Raw genomic sequence first — 14,768 nt, forward strand, 5'->3', positions numbered from 1 at the left:
ATATAGTCATGCAGCTAGATCATACTTGATAGCTTCCTTCCTAGGTAAAATACTTTTTAAAAAAATAAGTAATAATTAACTTGCAAAAGTAAATTTATTGAAGCATAGAAACAATTAAAGCAAAGTTGTTAATTCAGCTATTTCAAGAGCATTCTAATGAGGAAATAAGAAGATGCAGAAAAGTTGGCTAGTCATCCATTTCTGGACTGAAGCTTTTCCTGAAATTATCCAGAAAGATGCCTAGATTGATGCCATTTCTTCGCTTGTGTCCTTCTTGATTTTTTTTTCTTTGAAAGACACTTTTGTTGATCTGGAAGTTCCTTATTTAACTTTCACCTCAGAAATACTGCTGACTTGAGACGAGACAACCTTGCCATCCACCAACTCCTCTACGATAGTCTTAGTCACTCTAGTCTTGCTTGAATCTGAAAATCATGGGATTGCAATGTCAGTCTGGAAACTCTCACAGAAACACAGAGCAAGAGAAATTCAATCACATGCATTCAACGTGTTCTGTCTGGGTAAGATTATGTAAAAAATAGCGGACTCTTTTAGTATGACAAGCAAAGTATGTCTTCACTTTTAAATTACAGAACTATTATCAATATTAAAAAAAGTCTACCTCGTCCTTGACCAGAACAGCTTCCAGATCTTGAGTCACCAGATACCAGATCCCTGGATCCCATGTTTACAGATCCTGAGTTTCTACCACCAAATTCTGCAAAACTAGAACCACTGGAGAAAAAAAGAATTATGTTTTCCTTTGCAGTTTGCAAAGGCAGGAGAAAGCCTCCGCCCCGGGGATTCTTCATGATGAAGTTTTGGATGTGTTTATGTGTTTTAATTGGATTGTGTCTGCTGCTTTTTTGTTCAACCTTGCACTCCTGGGCTCAAGTGATCCTCCTGTCTCAGCCTCCCCAGTATCTGGGATTATAGGTGTGCACCACCATGCCCAGCTAATTTTTTTTTTTTTTTTTTTGAGACAAGGTCTCGTTCTATCACCCAGGCTGGAGTATAGTGGCATGATTACAGCTCACTGCAGCCTCAGCCTCCTGAGCTCAAGTGATCTTCCCGCCTCAGTCCCCTGAGTAGCTGGGACTACAGGTGTGTGCCACCACGCCTGGCTAATTTTTGTATTTTTAGTAGAGACAGGATTTCACCATGTTGGCCAGGCTGGTCTCGAACTCCTGACCTCACGTGATCTGCCTGCCTTGGCCTCCCAAAGTGCCGGGATTACAGGCATGAGCCACTGTGCCCAGCCTCCAGCTAATTTTTTAAAAATTATTTTTTGAAGAGGAAGGGGTTTTGCTATGTTGCTCAAGCTGGTCTTGAACTCCTGGGCTCACGTGATTCTCCCACCTCAGCCTCCCAAAGTGCTGGGATTACAGGCCTGAGCCACTGCACGCAGCCTGTGTCTGTTACTTTATTACTCTCTATATATACAAGTCTAAGCCCTGAGTCCCATTTTGGTTTTATAAAATAAATTCACTAAGGTATGCATTTTAGTTTGTTCATGACTTTGGTTTACCCTCCCTCTCCATCGAGCAGGCGGCGGTAGGTCTCGATCTCCACCTCCAGGCGTGTCTTGATGTCCAGCAATTGCTTGTACTCTGCGTTCTGGCATTTAGTCTCACCCCAGATCTGGCAGATCTCCTCCTCCAGGGCACTGATCTGCGTTTGAATTTCTGACAGCTGAGCCACGTAGCCAGCTTCTGTGTCAGCCAGGGTTCCCTCCAGGGAGCTTTTCTAAGAGAAAAAGCAAATAAAAAATTCATGATGAAAATAAATCATTGGATGATTTTTTAAAAATGCAATTTTATGTGGCACTAGAAGTGCACCTTCGCCATATAACCTATATTGTTATATCATTGCTTCTTTAATTTTGGTTGGCACTTCTTTTTAAACTAAATCTTTTATGCAAAATAGAGTACATTATCTTTAACTTTTAATGCTTTCTATAATCATAATGCAGTTCTCCTTAACACTGCCTTTTTTATGTGCCTAGTGAACCTCTTGGCAAAGAAAGAAAACTGCATTTGCTTAACTCCCTGTTGGAAAATGTGAAAAGCTATTTGCACATACCATGGCCAGTTGGGACTGAAGCTCAATTTCCAGGGCTTGCAGGGTACGTTTTAGTTCTGTTATCTCATTCTTGGCAGAAGTGGCTGCCCCAGCATCAGTGGAGATTTGTGCTTGTAGTGATGCGCTCTAAATACAAACATAATGCAGCTGTTGTAGGCTGATGAAAGGAGCAGAAGCGGCTTGTGTGTGGCTACTGGCTTAGGTGCTCAGCAGAGAGGATCTACCTGCTTGTTGAACCGCTCCTCAGCCTCTCGGCGGTTTTGCTCAGCCAGCTCCTCGTACTGCGCCCTCATGTCATTCAGTAATTTGGTCAGGTCGGTCCCTGGCGCAGCATTCATTTCTACGGTCACCTCCCCTCCAGAGCTTCCTTGCATATTCTTCATTTCCTAGCATGAAGGAAAAAAGACTATCGTGATGCAAACAGAAAAGTGATGACTTCCGAAAATGTGCCTAGACAACAACAATTTGAAAGTAGGACACTGAAAGGAAAAAAAAAAAATCAAATCTAGGTATAATTTACTCATGATTACTTTTGTTTCCTGGTCATAGTATGTGGGAAATTCACTTAGATAAAAATGAGTTTATTTTACCTTTTTTTCTTTTTTTTTCTTTTTGAGATGGAGTCTCACTCTGTCACCCAGGCTGGAGTGCAGTGGCTTGATCTCGGCTCACTGCAAACTCCGCCTCCCCAGTTCAAGTGATTCTCCTGCCTCAGCCTCCTGAGTAGCTGGGATTACAGGTGCAACAGGTGTGCGCCATCATGCCCTGTTTATTTTTGTATTTTTAGTAGAGAGGGGGTTTCACCATGTTGGTCAGGCTGGTCTCGAAATCCTGATCTCATGATCTGCCTGCCTTGGCCTCCCAGAGTGCTGAGATTACAGGCATAAGCCACCGTGCCAGGCCTATTTTACTTTTTTAGAGACACAGTATCTCTCTGTTGCTCAGGCTGGAATCCAGTGGCATGATCATAGCTCACTGTGGCCTCCAACTCCTGGGTTCAAGGGATCCCCCTGCCTCGGCCTCCAGAGTAGCTGAGACTAAAGGCATGAGCCACTGCACCCAGCCAATTTTATTTGTATAGAATGCATATGGGGAGAAATATGTTAGCTAGAGTTATTCGTTTATGTAGAACATGTTCCTACCTCCTCGTGGTTCTTCCTCAGGTAGGCTAGCTCCTCGGTGAAACTCTCAATCTGCATCTCCAGGTCAGAGCGGGTCATAGTCAGGTCATCCAGGACTTTCCGCAGGCCATTGATGTCAGCCTCCACGCTCTGCCGGAGACACAGCTCGTTCTCATACCTGGAAGGGGCAGCAGTAAGGCAAAAAATACTGTGAGCTCACCTGGCCGTGTTTCAAAGGGTACCTTCCATTCTTACATATTGAAAAAGTTCTCACTTGTGGGCATTTTAATAAATAAAGGTTATTAAGTTTTCTCTTGGGAAATTTTCCCTTGTAAAGAAAAATACCAATGTAATGTTAATTCTAATCATGTCTAACATTTTTAATAATAAAATTCTCATTCTAAATTTGCCTCTTTCTTTTTTCTTTTTCTTTTTTCTTTTGCAGCTGTTGTAGGCTGATGAAAGGAGCAGAAGCGGCCGGTGTGTAGCTACTGGCTTAGGTGCTCAGCAGAGAGGATCTACCTGCCCCAGCATCAGTGGAGATTTGTCTAATGGTCTAAAGTTTACCCTTGGGATGTTTGTAAATTTAGGTCATGATCCTCTAGTATATATATATATATATATATATATATATATATATATATATATATATATATATATATTTATTTATAAAATGGAATAAAATTTATTTTTCTCCCGTAACACTTGTTTTCAAGTCTTTATGTTTCTTACTTCAGTCTGAAGTCATCAGCAGCCAATCTGGCATTGTCAATGTGCAAAATGATCCCAGCATTTTCAACAGTGGCAGCAATGATCTAAAAAAGATGTTAATAGTGAGTGAATCACGAATGATTTTTACCTTGTGTCTGCATGCCTACTTGTAAGGGTAGCTGTTGCCTGTGTTATTAGCTCTTTTTTTTGTGTGTGTGTAGAGACAGAGTCTCGCTCTGTCGCCCAGGCTGGAGTGCAGTGGCAAGATCTCAGCTCACTGCAACCTCCGCCTCCCATGTTTAAGCGATTCTTGAGCCTCAGCCTCCTGAGTAGCTGGGATTACAGGGGCGTGCCACTATGCCCGGCTAATTTTTTTTGTGTGTGTGTTTTTAGTAGACACGGGGTTTCACCATGTTGGCCAGGCTAATCTCAAATTCCTGACCTCAAGTGATTTGCCCGCCTCAGCCTCCTAAAGTGCTGGGATTACAGGTGTGAGCCACCGTGCCCGGCCTGTGCTATTAGCTTTTAAAGGTGACTTGCTTTGCAAACTTACTTAGTAATGACTAAGTATACAGCCCCAGACCTGTATATCTGGGGCTGGTATATTTAGGACTACATCTTTCTGCAAAAAGATAACAGTCTGCACATTTATTGGACTAGGCACAGGAACCTGTTTTACAGGACATAGTCCTCTGCATATTTCTGCTACTTTGTTAGATCATTATCTCATGAGCTTTTTCAGAAAATAGTGCAAAAATTGTATTTCACTTCCAAAAAAGTCTTTAAAAATATATTTCCCATACAAAAGTGGCTAAACATTTTAGATTCTACTACATTCTTATGTAATGTTTGCACCAGATTTTCTGGGAAGAAAAATAATACTAAAGAATATTTAAATCTTGTAAGACAATAAAATGTGTCAGTCTGTCAGAATTCATCATAAATAATTAGATTAAACTAATGTTGACTCACTGCCACCATTCTTATATATAAATGATAATTAGCTGCCTGGTGTTGTATAAGTTTTACTGTTATGTAGAAATACTGAAACTGAGATGGAAACAGAAAATTAATGTGATTGGACATCACATAAGGTACTATAATAATTAAGACACATCAGGTCCCACTTTGCATATGTAACAAGCAAATATGTTTTCAAATAATTTCTTAAAATTTTCATTATAGTACATGATCTGAAAAGAAGTGAAAGATCCACAAATAATAGAAACTCAGGCACAGATAGTCTCACCTGGTTTCTGAGATCTTCAATTATTGAATAGTATTTGCTATAATCTCTTCCCGATCCACCGTCTCCAGACCCAGGCCCATATTTGTCATACCACTCCTTGATTTTGTTCTCCAGATCAGTGTTAGCCTCCTCCAGGGCTCTGACCTTGTCTAGGTAATTGGCCAAGCGGTCATTGAGGTTCTGCATGGTTTGCTTTTCCCCTCCAGAGAAAAGCCCCCCATCGCCAACACCACCTCCCATACCACCACCATAGCTGTAGAAGCCTCCAGTAGCACCACTGCTGAATCTAGAACTCCCACAGAATCCAGAACCCCTGCCAAATCCAGAGACCCCGCCAAAGCTAGAACCCCCACCAAATCCTGTCCCAGAGCCTGAAGCTCCCCCAAAACCACCCCCTACTGAGCAGCTACCAAAGCCCCCTCCAAAGCTGCCCCCAAAAGCACCGCTAGACCCCCCACTCAGGCTGCAGCTGCTGGCTCCTCCTCGGAAGCCCTGGGCCGAGCTGCCCCCCAGACCACATCTGCTTCCACTGCTGAAGCTGCTTCCACCAGCAGACACCCTGGCTGAGCTGCTGCCTCCAGCCCTGGAGGAGGAGGCGCGAGACGAGCAAGACATGGTGCTCCTGCAAACATGAGCTTGTCCAGGCGAATAGGAGAGGTGATGACGAAGAGTGTATTCAAGGCTGCCTTTTTGGCCTTTATATACACACTTCGAGGGTGTTCCTTTTCTCTGTCACTTCTTAATCCCTGTTACAGTTTTGGTAATCCGTAATTGGATAATTTCTGTTTCTTGAACACTTCTCTGAAGCTAGGTCAGAGCCCTGGGACATTTACTATATCAATAAAAAAAGAATAAAGTGGAGCAAAACAAAAAAATTTTCAGAATTACAGTTTTAATCTTTCAGAGGTTTTGATGATTGGTAACTTTTCTCTGGAAGTGTAGTTCTATTAAATTTGCTTCATGATTTCACATTTGCAGAGAATATCTCCAGGTTAACAAATGTAATTAAAATACTTAATATGATGAGAATAAAAATTTCCCATCAATCATGTAACTTTTTTGTTCATATTGTTCTCAAAAGTTGAAATTAGCTTTCACATCAGCAATAATTTCAGATTTGATTAAGCATCCATCTCTTTGATTATTTCAATCAGCGTGTTTTTTAAGGTTGTTGAAGTTTGTGATTTTAAGTTATTGCTTTCTTTTTTTGTATTTTGTATAATATACAAAAAAGCATATAATTTGTAACAATTATGTTTTATAGTTCATAAGAAAAACATAAATAATAGTTTTCTAGGTAAGTATTATTACATCTCAGCAACATGTTTATTCAAGTAGCTAATGTCTAAGAAAGATTGAAAAGCTTTTAGGCAGATTGTTTTAATACGATTTTCTTTCTGGTTGAATTCTAGTCTGATATAAAGACAGCAACTTCCTTTTTGAGTCAAATTTCAAGAAATGAAGAGATGATGCAGATATCTCCTGCCTTCGTTTTAAAGATAAAAGAGGATTTGTATCTACTTCTGATAACTAGTGTTACAATTGGAGTTATTTTATAGATTCTGAACCCTCCTGAGCTCCCTTTGTGCTTCATGGCTTTTTGTCCCTTTGTATTTTAGACTGTTTCCATTCATGTCTTCTAGTCACTTCACCGGTTTAATAGTGTCTTTTTGAAAGACAGATACTGTATAATTCCAGTACTATGAGGTGCCTAGAGTAGTCAAATTCACAGAGACAGAAAGTAGAATGGTAGTTGCCAGTGGCCGAAGGGTTGGGGATAGACAGTTGTTGCTTACTGGGCATAGAATTTTAATTTTGCAATATGAAAAGAGTTTGGGGCCAGGCGTGGTGGCTCACACCTGTAATCCCAGCTCTTTGGGAGGCCGAGGCAGGTGGATCACCTGAGGTCAGGAGTTCGAGACCAGCCTGGCCAAGATGGTGAAATCCCGTCTCTACTAAAAATACAAAAAATTAGCCAGGCATGGTGGCAGGCGCCTGAAATCCTAGCTACTTGGGAGGCTGAGGCAGAGAATTGCTTGAACCCGGGAGGCAGAGGTTGCAGTGAGCCAAGATTGTGCCACTGGACTCCAGCCTCAGAGACAGAGTGAGACTCGTCTAAAAAAAAAAAAAAGAAAAGAGTTTGGGAGATTGGTTGCACAACAATGTCAGTACACTTAAGACTACTGAACTGTAAACTTATAAATGATGAAGATGATAAGTTTATGTTATATGTATTTTACCACAATTTTTAAAAAGTCTTAAAAAACAGGTGCTTCCAGAAATAGTTTGTATCCTCCTTAGCTTTAAACTTAAGTAGCTGACTTTTGTTTATTTAAGAATTTCTTCCTTCTTTTGCCAGTCTCTGTTAAACTATGTTCACACCTTAATCTTTATATTCAATTATTTGTTAAACAATGTTCTGCTTTAAATTTTTCCTTAAATTGCATTTTATTGGGACACATGATTAAATAGGTAATCATTCACTTTACTATGTAGCTCTTATGTGGCTTTTATGATCTACCTGTACTGTTTTCACAGGAGTATGATGTTACTCTTCTTCATATTTAGGGTGACATATCTCCAAGGGGTACATGGTGTACAAAATTTTAAATTGTTAAGCTGGGAGTAATTTTTATAACGCCCTTCTAAAGTAGCTAAAAAATGCACCACACATAATGTGTTGGTCATCCTGCCTCGCCCATCCCTAAAGCTGTGAAACCAAAGAAAACTAAACCCTAATGATTAAATGGTATGCAAATGCTGGCAATGGGAGGAACAGTCACAGAGTGTTTCTCCCTTTTAAAACTATGAAATGTAATCTTTCAATTTTCATAAAGACTTGCATTTGGCTGAAAGCACGTTTAAATCCCAGCTCCTTCGGAGGCTGAAGCAGGAGAATTGCTTGAACCCGGTGGGTGGAGCTTACAGTGAGCAGAGATTGTGCCACTGCACTCCAGCCTGGGCGACAGTGCGAGACTCCATCTCAAAAAAAAAAAAAAAAAAAAGACAGAGAGAGAGAGACAGACTGAATCTTAGGTGTCTGGGCTCCCAGTTCAAATTTTGAATAGTTTGTGATTAGAAGTTTATTTCTACCTGTAAAGAAACATATAAAAGCTATATTTCCTTATAGAATATGATTTTAATAATAAGTGCAGAATGATTTGCAGATAGTAACCATCAATTTTTTTTTGTGTGTGTGGGGGATAGATTATTAGTATTTAAATATTTTTCAGATTAACATATTGCAGGTTTTTAGACTAGTAGGAAAACCAAATACTGAAATGCATGGCATATGGCTCCTGATGAATCTTTACAGAATTGAGAACAGAACTTGGGTATTCTATCTTCTGTTCATTCAAGAAAATATACTGTTTTGTGTTTTTCAAATAGAAGCATCACATCAGAGTAGTTAAGGGAAGTTGCTGGGTTTAGAGTATTTGTTGAATGTTGACAAAACTTTCTGTGGCAGACAGTAAAAAAGAAGGGAAAATATACATTTAAAAAAATTTTAACTTTTAACTTTTGTGGGTGCATAGTAGGTATATAGATTTATGGGGTACATAAGATATTTTGATATAGGTGTACATATCCCATCAGGGTAAATGGGGTACCCATCACCTCCAGCACTTATCCTTTGTGTTACAAACATTCCAATTATACTATTTTTTAGTTATTATAAATTATACAAGTAAATTATTATTGACTATAGTCACTCTGTTATACTATGAAACACTAGGTCTTATTCATTTTTCTAACTATTTTTGGTACCCATCAAGCGTCCTCACTTTTCCCCTACTCCCCCGTTTCCCTTCCCAGCCTCTGATAACCATCATTCTACTCTCTATCTTCATGAGTTCAATTGTTTGAATTTTTAGCTCCCACAAGTAAGTGAGAATACACAAAGTTTGTCTTTTTGTGCTTGGCGTATTTCACTTAACATAATGACCTCCAGTTTCATCCACGTTGTTGCAAATGACAAGATCTCATTCTTTTCATGACTGAATAGTACTCCGTTGTGTATATGTGCCACTTTTTTTTTTTTTTAAGACAGGTTTCACTCTCGTCACCCAGACTTGAGTGCAATGGCGCGATCTCGGCTCACTGCAACCTCCACCTCCTGTGTTCAAGCGATTCTCCTGCCTCAGCCTCCCGAGTAGCTGGGATTACAGGCACCCACCACCATGACCAGCTAATTTTCATATTTTCAGTAGAGACAGGGTTTCACCATGTTGGCCAGGCTGATCTTGAACTCCTGACCTCGTGATCCGCCCTCCTTGGCTTCCCAAAGTGCTGGGATTACAGGCATGAGCCACCGCGCCTGACCTGTGCCACTTTTTCTTTATCCATTCTACTGTTGATGGATGCTTAGGTTGCTTCTAAATCTTGTCAGTAGTGCTGTAATAAACATGGGAGCACAGACATCTCTTTAATATAGCAATTTTCTTTCTTTTGGACACATTGGAAAGTATAAATTTGATGTGTGAACAGTCTCTTTGCAATGCCGTTGCAATGACAGATAGTAGATAGACAATAAATATTCCTTGAATTAATAAAAACTAACATGGCCTGATTTTCTTCATGAACAACTTGGATCACTGATTACTTTTGTTCTTTACTATGTGTTGTGTTTTGTTTTCTGAATCTTTATGCTCCACTTCTGGGTTAGTGATTCTCAGTGTGTGGTGGCGGAGAGCGGGGCTTGGCAGTAAGAGGAAATGTTGTTTGGGAAGAGGGCAGAAAGGTCAGGCAAGAGTCAACCGGGGACCTTCCTGTAGGGAATCATTGTTTGGGCCAGCTTCCTGCTGGTGGCTGCTCTAGGCCCCGCCAGGGTCAACTACTTGGAAGAGAAAAAAGGTTTTGCAATAATAACATGACTAAGAGCCCACTCCAGTAGATCTGGCACCACCCGTCGATGGATTGGGTGTGTCATTGTCACACCCCAGAAATCCACCAATTCTGTGGCTGTTTCTCTTCCTTCATCACTTTCTCTCCTTCCCCACCACCCTCGTCCATTCTTTCTCTTCCTGGTTTCACTTAAGTGTGTCTATTTGAAGGCTTCCTCTTCTCCACCAGGAAGCATCTGCTTGGTCATGCCATTTTGCCAAATTTTGTTCTGGGAAGAAAAATCACCTGGCTTTGTTCTTGTATGTGAGTGCTTTCAAATCTCTTTAAATAACTCAATTCTCTATGTTTCCTGAAGATCTTTCCGTGAGTTTATGGAGAATTAAGAGAATGGGTGAGTGACTTTGCGGGGGTTGGGATGCTTTGTCCTCCAGGCTCCACAGATAAGACAGTTTGAAATAAGCACAGTTTTCAAGGATTAGCTCTGCTTAAAAAGTCCTTTTGTGCCTTTCTTCATACCAGACAGACAGTAGTCTTCTCTTCAGAGAATCCAAAAGCATGAACAATCCAGATCATAACTTGAGCAGTAGGGCCTAGCCCCTGTGCCTCTTGCCAATGCTAAGTTGATACACTGGGCCTTCCTGCTCTGTCTCTTCCAGCTTGACCCCTCAACCTCCTGCTGCCCTCTGATGTCAGAGAAGCTGCAAATCTTTGGTCAAGGAATCCAGGGCTTAAATAGTAGTTTCATAGCAAAAGAATGGCATGGTATTTTACACAAGATCATATTTTATATGATAGGCTCAGAAGAAAGCTTCATCAGTCTCAAGTCTCTTGTCCTCTGTCCACCAGAACTATAACACAACATTTGAGTACAGTCGATGTCTCTTGACCAAGCCACCATGTCCTCATCTGTAAAATTATTATATTGGTCTATCCACTTCTCAGGTTCCCTTCCAGCTCTAATTTTTAGCAATCTGGTAATTAAATGTATTACTTCTCAGATTTAGAAAGTGTTTTATATTACTATTAGGTGAGATTTTCTTTTTTTCTTTTCTTTTTTTTTTTTTTTTTTGAGACACAGTTTCGCTCTTGTTGCCCAGGCTGGAGTGCAATGGCGCAATCTCGGCTCATGCAACATCTGCCTCCTGGGTTCATGCCATTCTCCTGTCTCAGCCTCCTGAGTGGCTGGGACTACAGGCAAGCACCACCATGCCCAGCTAATTTTGTATTTTTAGTAGACGCGGGGTTTCTCCATGTTGGTCAGGCTGGTCTCGAACTCCCGACTTCAGGTGATCCACCTACCTTGGCCTCCCAAAGTGCTGGGATTACAGGCGTGACCACTGCACCCAGCCAGGAGGGATTTTCTTTACTAGAGCATTAGCTGCAAAAGTTCACTGCTTGTGCTTGAGAACTGGGTAGAGTGGAAATTGTGCTTAGAGGTCCCCTTAACTGGCCTCTACGTGTCTACTCCAAGGTAAGCTCTTATAAAGGCACCCAACTGAGGAAAAGAATACTTGCCTAGAGATTCTTTCAAGACAATGTTCTTGATCAGAGTTACAATTAGAACTAAACAATAAGAAAGACAACCAGAAAAATCTCTGTGAGTTGATACATTCTCTTAGATAACTGTGGTATAAAGGGAAATATATATTAATGATGAGAGTGTCTTTTGAATACTGATGAGATGGCTTGCGGCTAGGGGCCTCTCAATAGCTTCAGGATAAGGACTGGTCTCCAGAGGACCAAGCCTTGATTAGAAGCTTAGAACTTTCAGCCACGTCTCCTAACCTTTGGGGAGGGGAGAGGGGCTGGGTATTGAGTTAATCACAAATGGCCAGACTCATGTCTATGTCATGAAACCTACATAACCCTTAAGTCAGGGGTCCCCAATCCCTGGGAATTGTATGAAGGAACTGGGCCACACAGCCAGAGGTGAGTGGAGGCTGCACGAGCATTACCGCCTGAGCTCCACCTCCTGTCAGATCAGCAGTGGCATTAGATTCTCATAGGAGCATGAACCCTGTTGTGAACCGTGCATGCGAGGGATCTAGGTTGTGGGCTCCTTATGAGAATCTAATGCCTGATGATATGTCAGTCTCCAATCACCCCCAGATGGGACTGCCTAGTTTCAGGAAAACAAGCCCAGGGCTCCCACTGATTCTATGTTATGGTGAGTTGTATAATTATTTCATTATATACTACAATGTAATAATAATAGAAATAAAGTACGCAATAAACGTAATGTGCTTGAATTGTCCCGAAACCACTCCACCCACCTGGTCTATGGAAAAATTGTTTTCCACAAAACCAGAGCCTGGTGCCAAAAAGGTTGGGGACTGCTACCTTAAATAATGGGGCTCAGAAAGCTTCTGGGTTGATGAACATGTGGAGGTGCTGGGAGTATGGTATGTCCAGAGAGGGCATGGAAGTTCTGTGCCTGTTTCCCTATATCCTGCCCTATTTATCCTTTCTGTTTAACTGTTCTTGAGTTGATCCTTTATAATAAACTGGTAATAGTAGGCAAAGTGTTTTCCTGAGTCCCGTGAGTCATTCTAGAAATTATCAAAACTTAAGTGGGGAAGATTGTGGAAACCCCAAACTTTGTAGCGAATCAGAAGTATGGGTAACCTGGTGTACAAGTCTGTTCTTGCACTGCTATAAATGAATAAATACCTGAAACTGGGTAATTTATAAAGAAATGGGCTCACAGTTCTGCAGGGTGTACAGGAAGCATGATACTGGCATCTGCTTTGCTTCTGGGGAGGCCTCAGGAAACTTACAATGATGGCAGAAGGCAAAGGAGAAGCAGACATGTCTTACGTGGCCGGAGCAGGAGCAAGAGAGAGATGGGGGAGGTTCCACACACTTTTAAACAACCAAATCTCACAAGAACTCACTCACTATCACAACGACAGTACCAAGGCGGGGATGGTGTTAAACCATGAGAAGTGGCCCCCATGATTCAATCACCTCCCACCAGGCCCCACTTCCAACATTGGGGATTACATTTCAACATGAGATTTGGTGGGGACAGAGATCCAAACCACATCACCTGGGGACCTGATACTTGTGACTAGCATCTGCGGTGAGGGCAGTCTTATGAGGAGGAGCCTTTCAACTTGCGGAGTCTAACACTAATTCCAGATAGTTAGTGTCAGAATTGATTTGAATGTTAGGATACCCGCTTGGGTATCATAGGAAAAAAAGAAGCCTTTCATAACTGTTGGATCAAATATGACAAACCAGAAAGTAGTGAAAAAGTCCAGGCATGGTGGCTTACGCCTGTAATCCCAGTCCTTTGGGAGGCCAAGGCAGGAGGATCACTTGAACCTACGAATTTGAGGCTTGCAGTGAGCTACGATTGTGCCACTGCACTCCACTCTGGGTGACAGAGCAAGACCCTGTCTCTAAAAAAAAAAAAAAAAAAAGTTAAAAGAAAAGCACTTCATACCTGGACTTTTGGGATGTAGCTAACTTTGAACAGTGAAGAAAATTTATAGCCTCTAATGGCTGCTTTGTTAAAAAAGAAAGACCAAAGATGAAGACATTTAGTATAAAAATTTCTTTTAAAGAACAGCAAGATAAACTAAAAAATATAAAAATAAATTAGTAAAAATAAAGGCTGAAATTATTTAAACAGAAAAGAAAAAAATACATAAATATGTCGAAAAGCTGATTCTTTTAGAGATCAATTAAATAGACAACCTCTTCATGAGCCTGATTAGGAAAAGAGAGAGAGGTCCAACACACAAGGTTGGAAGTGGGAAAGAGACATAACTGGGTATAGAACAGATTAAAATAATTATAAGAGAATACCACATATAAGGCAATGGCAGCACTCTTGGAGACCTTTCTGGTAGTTAGCCAAATTATTATTGCCCAGTGGGTGATCTCTGTGCTCATCAGACCAGTCCTGGCAAGACTCACCCCAGGGACAGTGACAGGGACAGACTGGGGTGCTCAGCCTACCTGCAGTGGCCCTGGGGCATGCTGGGAGAGAAAGGGGCACAGGGCTTACCCTAGGAGGAGAGGGCCCTGGAGAAGCCATGGCAAAGCTGTGACCGTGGGTGGGCAGAGCTGATCAGAGTCTGCAGATTTGAGCTGGGCATAAGAGGCTGTGGGATTTGGACACAGGGGCCATCCATACTGTTACCAGAACGTGGAGAAGAGCCAGTAGGAATACTGGCTATGAAGCCAGATCCTTCCAGAAAGGGAGAAAGGAACAGGACTCTGTTGTGATGTGGAGGCTGACTAGGTGGAGTGAGGAGAAGGTCCCAGCAAGCAATTGTGCTTGTCTTTTTTGTGCCTGTAACCAGGAGGGAGACAGAGAAACCAGGTGCCCAGGAAACCTTGATTGAAGGGTGCCAGGTAAGCCCTGTCCTTCCCACAGTGGCATTCAACAGCAAGGCCAGGACCTACCATTATCTTTCTGTGTGTAGAGTGGACACAAGCACATATTTCTAAAGAGGACTAATGGATGATCTTTAGGTACTAACTTGTGACCCATTCATTGGAGGTCACTGGGTGTTTCTAGAAGTACTTTTGATGTGACTGATCTTGGAGCAAAGCCTCAAATCACACCTTATTCTGTTCTTTCTATGTATCCAAATTTTACCACTTTTCAAGGGCTATCTCTTCTGGAACACTCTTCTGGAACACTCCAACCCTTCATTTACCAGCTTCTCCTTTTCCCCACATAATTTTTCTTATTATTCTTACGGTTTCTACCACATTACTTATCACTTGGTCCTTCTTGTATTTTT

The 14,768-nt window shown here is 41.5% G+C and overlaps 1 protein-coding gene across 1 annotated transcript; it reads right to left on the reverse strand.

The window, feature by feature from the left end:
* KRT24 (keratin 24) lies at positions 76 to 5,837 on the reverse strand. The gene is made up of 8 exons (NM_019016.3): positions 5,164 to 5,837; positions 3,936 to 4,018; positions 3,225 to 3,381; positions 2,307 to 2,468; positions 2,083 to 2,208; positions 1,529 to 1,746; positions 623 to 735; positions 76 to 425 (listed from the first exon to the last, which is right to left on the reverse strand). The coding sequence occupies exons 1-8, from the start codon at positions 5,776 to 5,778 to the stop codon at positions 322 to 324; spliced, it is 1,578 nt and encodes a 525-aa protein (NP_061889.2). The 5' UTR covers positions 5,779 to 5,837; the 3' UTR covers positions 76 to 321.

This window comes from Homo sapiens, chromosome 17, assembly GCF_000001405.40.
Source record: "Homo sapiens chromosome 17, GRCh38.p14 Primary Assembly".
NCBI classification, from domain to species: domain Eukaryota; kingdom Metazoa; phylum Chordata; class Mammalia; order Primates; family Hominidae; genus Homo; species Homo sapiens.

Excerpts from the sequence above, each read along its gene's own strand:
- KRT24 (NM_019016.3), bottom strand. The coding sequence starts at position 5,778 with ATGTCTTGCTCGTCTCGCGCCTCCTCCTCCAGGGCTGGAGGCAGCAGC. Across the intron at positions 4,019-5,163 it reads TTGAAGATCTCAGAAACCAG|ATCATTGCTGCCACTGTTGA; the intron begins GTGAGACTATCT and ends CATCTTTTTTAG. Across the intron at positions 736-1,528 it reads CTGCTCGATGGAGAGGGAGG|TGGTTCTAGTTTTGCAGAAT; the intron begins GTAAACCAAAGT and ends TTTTTTCTCCAG.